The 8,001-nt window shown below is 37.8% G+C and overlaps 1 long non-coding RNA gene across 1 annotated transcript; it reads left to right on the top strand.

The window, feature by feature from the left end:
* Nucleotides 1-399: 399 nt before the first annotated feature.
* LOC105369440 (uncharacterized) lies at nucleotides 400-3,357 on the top strand. Its single transcript, XR_001748336.2, has 3 exons — nucleotides 400-475; nucleotides 1,089-1,192; nucleotides 2,438-3,357. It is a non-coding gene; the product is annotated as an uncharacterized LOC105369440 (long non-coding RNA).
* Nucleotides 3,358-8,001: the final 4,644 nt, after the last annotated feature.

Raw genomic sequence — 8,001 nt, 5'->3', positions numbered from 1 at the left:
AGGGCTGCTATGCTGAGCCTGTGAATAATTACTCCTTACTTAATTTTTTTCTAGACTATTTTAACAATAGAACTACGGATTTTTCTTTATTGCTACATGGCATAAGAATCGAAGGAAAAGGCTCTGTGAGATTTCTTTCCCTAGAAAGGAGGTTTTTGGTCAAGCCATTATTAGGGTCTAATGGCTGAGTTCAACACGTGCTTTTAAGCTGACCAGCATTATCCACCCTCGTTCATATATTGAAAACACACATACATGCATGTAAACACACACGCGCGCACACACACAAACACTATCTGGCTCTGTCTTGTACAGAGGAAGAATAGGCACAATTCTATCCCCTTCATACTCTGCTTTCTTTCTCTCCCCTGCCATCCCTGACTCAACCATAAATATAAAGTTCCTTTCTCCTTCTCAGGTATAAAAGAGTGGCTCTTTTTTGCATGTGTCTAAATAGAGACAAGTGGAAACTAGGGTAAGTATATGTTGGGTAATGCTGCTTTTACGTTCCTACTGATCCATACCAGATGCTCTGCACATACTTGTGTTTATGTGCATGTGTAAGGGGGAGGAGTGTCTATAGATGTTTGTCGAATTATGCATTATGGTTAGGAAATGGGTTAGGATGACTAAGAGTTGGGCAGATGTAGCTCAGTACAAAAGGCAATCTTTCATATCCTTCAGAGTGTTTTTGGAGTTATAAAAGATATACTCCATAGGCAAAATCCCAGAACATTACATGGCATAAAGCAGGTGGTCAATAAACATTATTTCTCCTTTTAAAGTTCCTCTTACTTCAAGGATCTTGGGGTTTCTTTTCCCTATTAAAAAAATAGCTCTTAAGAAAAAAGATCTGATATTAATTCACATCTTTGTATGAATATACGCTACCCAGGCTCCCCCACTCTTGGTTTGCATTTTAAGCTCTATAACAAATTGCAGACTAGAGGACTTTATCTGGTATTAAAGGAATAGTAGGAGTCAGAACAAAGCTGGAGAGGTTATTTTGGGAAAAGAAGGGCTCTTCCTCCATGTTTCTAAATTATGCCAATGTAAGTGTCTCCTTCTCCCCCCATGCATACAAAAAGGGATTCTTCTGATGTGTGATGAATATGAACATTTATGTATGCATTCCATGTGGGAACAAGACCTAGACACCGGTGGACAGCAGCATGCAGCTTAAAAGCACGTGGTATGCATCTTCCTTTTGAGGCTAATAAATAGCTTGGCCATAATCCTTCTCACTATGGAAAGAAATCTCACAGAGCCTTTTCTATCCATCTTGGTGCCAAGTAGAAAGAAGAACAATTCAGAGTTATTTTATTCAAATGGTTTGGAAAGCCAAAATAAGAATGTTTCATATTGCTTGCAGATTCAACATGTCAGTCCTTGAAAGAGTGAGCTTTCCATGAATTAATTAAAGATTGGAGTCACTTTTCAGTGAACTATCATACCTTTCCAAACATATTTGTAAAGGTTTCAAAACAATTATTATCTTAGCGGCTTTCTTTATTTAGTACTTTTCTTTGGGAAAGAACTGCTTTTATATAGGAAAATACCTTAGTAAATCACTGGGGTTGAGAGGTTGAAAGTGTGGTCCATGTGAACATAGACTAGCAGGAGACAATCAAAAGGAGAAGAAACAAAGAAAAAAGAAAGAAAGAGAGAACACACAATAAATCATCCATAGAAGTAGCTAAGATAGGAGAGGGGAAAGGGTAGGGTCTAGCAGCATGGTGGGAAGATAGTGTCCAAGTTGGAGGGTATCTAAAATACTTTCTAAAGGGCAGATATAGCTGATAAGGAAATTTCAGTTGCTTATGCTGCTTTATATTTATTTCTATGCCTTCACAAACCTTTAAAAAGGCCCATGTGAGTGGATTTGTTAAAAAATTGGAGAAAGAAGTTATGTTGAATACATGATTCAGAGTGAGGTCAGCTTAGGATTCATGAACTGAACTGAAATTGAGTGTAAATTGTTCAGCTCAAAGGTGATCATGAGTGTATAAGTCCCCTGGGGATTTGCAGAAATTGTGGAAAGGCACTGAACTTTTCACAGAGCGCAGAATGGGGGAATCAAGTCAGTCGTATCTAAATTACTCAAGTCATACCTTAAGTCATCATCTGAGTTATAAATCATTTGTGCAAAGTGAGGACCACATTGGTGTTCTCAGTTCCCTGACCCTTAATTTGCATTGCCAGACTGACTCTCAATGCTCTTCCAATAAATCTCAAGGAGGCTCTTGGAAGAGCAATTGTGATTTTTAAAAATAGTTCATCTTACAGATACTAGAAAGATGTGCCTTTGAATGAATTTCTCGGATTAAAATATATTTTCCAAGTCTCCTGAGGTTAGCAAATGGTACTCTTTCTTCCTGGCTCCTTTCAACTTTTACACAACACAAACAAATCAAGATCTGTCTTGTTCACTCCACAGATCCTTAAATGAAGATTTTGAAAAGAGTGGGGGAGGAAAGGCAGTGAAGAGGGAAGTCAAGACGGACTTATTCCTGCTTGATTTCAAGATGAAAAGACTGTTCATCCCTGAAAATTCCACGGGGAATCAGAGGGAGGGAGAGAAACAAGTCCTTGTTTGTACAGAACTGTTCACAAATGTTATATCATGGGGTCAGATTCACATACTGGGTAAACCTTGAAGAAAAAATTCCCAAGGGATTCCATAGGATGTGAAGCAGGCCAAAAACTTTGTTACTTGTCTTTTTGTCCCGTGAGACCTACACATCAACAGTTTTAAAACAGAAAAGTAGGATAGTTAGTACCTTTGAAGGGCCACTCCAGATGTCTAGGTCCAACTAAATTTGTCTACAAATTTCTATGGTTATTTATAGCTTCTTTTTTATAGCTTTAGGATCTTCAGTAAGGCTGAGACTTAAGGGAGCTGTTTCAGATCCAGGAGAAATCATAGAAATGTGTACGTGTTCCTACTAGTCTAATCCTATCCCCAAGGCCAAATAGGGTGGTGCAGTATGTGTGGCTTATTTTTCATAGCTCCAGGAAGGACAAGTGAAGATTCAGGATGAAACAGAACTAAGTCTGGCTAGGCTAGTGACAAACACTTAAATTACCTAAGTCATAGATTAACCAGTAAAAAATGATTTCTGCTCCCAGCTCATACCTACTGGGACCAGATGATAATGATGGTGATGACGATAATAATGATGATGATGTCAATATTTTTTGAGTATTTGCTATGTACCAAAAGTCTTTTGCACTACTCAAAAGACCTGACATACATTGTTTTATTAAATTCTCACAATAATCCTATATGGTAGCCTTTGCTATTCCTGTTGTAAAGATGAAGAAACAGAGGTTCAGTAAATTCAATTAACTTGTTCAAGGTGGTACAGCTAGTAGATAAGCCTGGAATGTGAATCCAAAAGGGTCTGACTTGACCATTGTCCTACAGTGCCTCTCTATTAGTAACTCAAATCAGACATCCTAGTTGAAGTGTAAAGTAAGGCTGGGGATAGAACTCTCAATAAAATGGTGACTTTACTGAGGGTGACTCTCAATAAAATGATGCATTACATAAGGGAATAGCCAGCATTTCTCCATTTCATGAAAGTTCCTTCTCACAGTGGAGCAAGGATTCTCTTCTCTCTTCCATCTTTTGCCTGTCATCAAAACTGGCTGTCAAGTAAGAATTTAATATACTCATTCAAAGTAGGCAAACTGTAATAAAAATGGTGAACTGGCTCATGACAAGATTTGGAATCTCCACAGGGAGCAAAATCTTGAGTCCAACAAATTAATCCACAGCAGCAGATTTTCAGATTTGCAGAGTTAAGTGAGTAAAAGAGACATGTTTTCAACTTGGAATATGGGGAGTAAGTGGGGATGTGGCTTTTTTCCTTCTCGAATCAACTCAGTAGGTGAACTCTTCATGCAACTGAAAAGTGCATTGTGAGTTGAAAACCTCTAAAATATATCAGTATACCCATTCTGAGCTTCCTGCAGACTGACTTAAAAAATTGCTCAACTTCTTTGCTAAGAATGCAAAGAATAATTTGGATATGCCTGAGTACTGTCCTGCCCCACAACCTCTTCAAAACAGCCTTTGAAATCTATTAGCATCAAAAAATGCCCTTCGGGGTACTAGGCCTGTTTATCTTGAAAAGTTCCTCTCAGACATCCTGGCAGGGGATGGGAAAATGGTTCAGCCACTCACAGTTCTTATGCCCTTCGAATTCTAGTATTTGTATTTGTCTGAGTCGATTCTCTTCTGGATGTCTTCCCTAACTAGGCTTAAAGACCCTTTCTCACAAACCTGCTATCTTTTTTTTTTTCCTTCTTCTAGTTTTTATAATGATTTGTTTGGTTTTAGGTCATCAGCCAGAGAAGGGATAAATGCCCTGTAAATTAAATATGCAGAGAAAGCTTTCTTTCCTCATCTCCTCAATGTCAAGAAAAATCTTCAATCTTAAAAAAAAAAGAAAGAAAGAAAAGAAAAGAGTTGCTATTTCTGTGGGATCAAAGAAAAATAATTATGATTTCGTAATGCCTTAAACAAAACTTTGGGTCCTATGTATTTGTTCAGAAATTAAAACTCAAAGATCATTGATTGCACAATGCCACTGTTTTGTAAATAGCTTTAATCCACTTTACAATTCTCCCAGTTCTAAATTTGTGCTCCTATCTTCCAAGGCCCATCATTTTCATGAGTCACCAGTCGTGAGCAGTGCAAGTTTTTCTGAGATCCAGCCAAACAACGCCTGGGCTCCTCAGTGTTTACACAGACAGCCCTGGCTAGTCTAGTAATCATTGTCTTGTTTCCTTATAGGAAAAGCTAGAAACGTACAGGGTAAACAGGGCAGCAACTAATATATACTGAGAATCTACTATGTGCTAAGCACACTGCTGTGCACTTTAAAATTCAATCTTTGTCACAGTCCTACCTGGTAAATATTATTTCTCACTTTTTTCACATGAAGAAACCAAGATTTAGAGAGATGAGGTAATTCACCTAAAGAAACAAAAGCTAAGGGTAAGGTTGAGGTCACTATTCCTATGCTTCGCTCATCCTAACCCATCACACTGCTTCCCTACACTGCGGAGCCTCAGCCAAAGATGGCTTTGGGAATAAATGAATCATTTGAAAGGTCTCTGCCTGGCCATGATCCTCATATTTCTGCAAGACCTAACCAGCTAATGATGCCCAGAGCATGTGTCAACTAAGCCCTGGCTCGGGATAACGTTTCTGGGCTTAGTTACAGTATGGAGTTCATTCTTGATTCATGAGCTGATGCTAAGCACTGTGTCCTCCAGGCTGGAGTTACCTCTGGAACCACAAGATCATTGCTCCTTCTTTCATCACTTGGACTCAGTGGTTACTAACTCCTTCTAAATGAAGCAATTAATTGAAGTCTATTAAAAGAAATTTCTAAAACCAGTGATTTCAAAATCCATTTACTGCACAAAATTTGGAGAGAGCATTTCCTTCCATTGCCTAACTGGAGCTCAAGTGGTAGAGACAAAATAATAGTAATATTAATAATAATCATAAAGAAGAAGAAAGAAATTACAATAACCAAAACCCATTGAGTGAGCTATTTTCTTTAGTCTACAACTTACAATAACCAAAAAGGAATCAGCAGCCCCAACATTCAAATCCCTAGAAGAGCGCCCTGTAAGAATCTATACAAAGCGCATGTGAGATCTTCAGCTGCTACTAGGAGTGGGGGTGAGATGATATAAAATGCTTCAATTTAAAAGACAATCGAGTTATTTCAGCCAGCACTCATACTTCGCAGGTGACAAGGGAGAGGAGCAAGAACTGATAACAGTTTAGTTCTTTCTGTGATCTAGGTATTATGCTGGGCAAGTTCATACATTTATGTTATCGTTAAATTCTCATAAAAATCATCAAAGGCAGCTATTATGATCTGCATTTTAGAGGACATGGATGATCACGAAATTTTTTTTTAAGTAACCTATTCCAGGATGAGTCCAATCACTTCAAGCTTTGTTGATATCATACATTTCTGAGTAAAAGAACCTTCCAGTCATTAACCTCATCTAGGTGTACAAGAGAAATAACTGGAGATCTATGTGATTCACATTCTGGATTGCTGAATATTCCTATGTGTCTATTGCCTCTTTTTTTCAGAGACCCTATTAAAAGGATATATTTTCAAAAAGCAAAACAGCCTCACACAACAAAATGAATAGGAGAGCGCCATGGGGGATTTTAATAAATGTGTAGAATTCAGAAGGTGGAAGGAATAATGTCAAGTGATGAAGGAGAGGGGAGAAAGACACCACCTTGAAAAGTGGGAACTTCAAGCTTGAATGTGAGCAGGTTACTGCAGCACAGGAAGTAGCTGACCTGCCTGGTAAAATCAAGAAGGGCTCTGGATTCAAAAAGGAGGTGGGAGAAAGGTAAGCTGAAGTCAAAGATGTATATATAGAAAGAGTTGGCCCTAGCCACACCTTTCTCTCACCTCTACATGCTATATAAATCCAGGTCCTTGCCCATAAGCAAAATAACTGGAGAGTTCTCTAATGGAATAGAATATACTGCTTGGGGAAGAACTAGGGTAGCCAATGTGGGTGTTAGTGACCCAGCATAAGGCCCTCCTCATTCATTCCCTGGGGCTCCCCATCATCAAGACAGGTCCTATAGCACTCAGCTTGGAGAAAACCTACCAGTGGACACACCTACAGGCATACACAGAGCTCCTGGGCAGTATGCTTATTGCTCATTTTGATGTCTGGAGAGACAACCAAAAATCACCAGACACTTGAGGAAAACCTACAATAAGAAAGAGAAATGCCAAGATAAGCACACCAGCTATTCCCTAGAGGAAAAAGAGAACTTGGGGAATAGAAGAGAACTTACAGAACATAATTAATTTAGTGTACTCAGAAGTACTGAAGAATCTGTGGCATGGATAAAACAAGAAGAGAATGTTTTATTTTTTAAAAAGTATAATTGAAGAACAAAAAGGATTGTTTTAGAAATTAAAAATACCCTGACAACATTGAATATTCAGAGTAGATGGAGTACAAAGCTGAGTTGAGGAAAGCTTCTAGAAAATAGAACAACGGGGAGTTAGGAAGAAAATATAAACAAAAAAATAAGAGGCATTAAAGATCAATCCTAGGAGATCTGACATGTTATTAACTACAATTTTAGAGATAACAGAGGGTGGGAAATGATCAAAAACAAAATAAAAAAGAATTTCCTGAAGATGATGGGAGGGTATCTTTAAATATAAAGAGGTTGCACAGTGCCCAGCATGATAAACAAAGTATTATTCACACAGTATTTTACAATTTCAGAACACCAAAGATTAAGAGAATAACTTACACCTTGTCAGAGACAGAGAGATGGAGGAAAACAGGAGCTAAGTCCTCATAGATCATAATGTGAAGCTATTAGCTAAAACTCGAAAGTCTACAACAATTGCGACAACAACATAAGCATATTATTTAGGATAACCAACAGAGGACCTAAAAACAGGGACCATTAAAAATTAGTTGTCTCTGAGGAGCAGGACTTAGGGACGTGAGTGGGCCGTATGGTGGGATTGTGAATTTTTATCGTCAGTGTGCAAGCATTACTTCGGATAAATATCTATGTCTATATCATCTATAGCTATATCCACACATATAAAATAAATAAAAAATATGTACATCAATACATATTAGAGTCAATACATAATATAACCTATATATTACATGAAATACCATATGTAGTTATTATATATATTACATATTATCTGTGTATGTGTCTTTAAAAGTAGTATTTGCAGGTTGTATGTTTATTACCCACTGAGAATAAACCCATCAAGCAATGTCTCTTACGTCAAACACTTAAACAAGGTTTAGTCTTGCCAATACCTATTGCACTACACACATAATTATTGATGAATTTAATACAGAGTTATAAAATTATATCCTAAAAAGGTCTTCCAGTGGGTGAGAAAATAAGCCTCCTACCAATACAACTTTCAAATAGTCAGTGGCTCCTAGCAGTTT

This window comes from Homo sapiens, chromosome 11 (assembly GCF_000001405.40).
Source record: "Homo sapiens chromosome 11, GRCh38.p14 Primary Assembly".
Classification (NCBI taxonomy): domain Eukaryota; kingdom Metazoa; phylum Chordata; class Mammalia; order Primates; family Hominidae; genus Homo; species Homo sapiens.
Note: the sequence above shows the minus strand (reverse complement) of the source record. Positions and strands in the feature narration are given on the sequence as shown.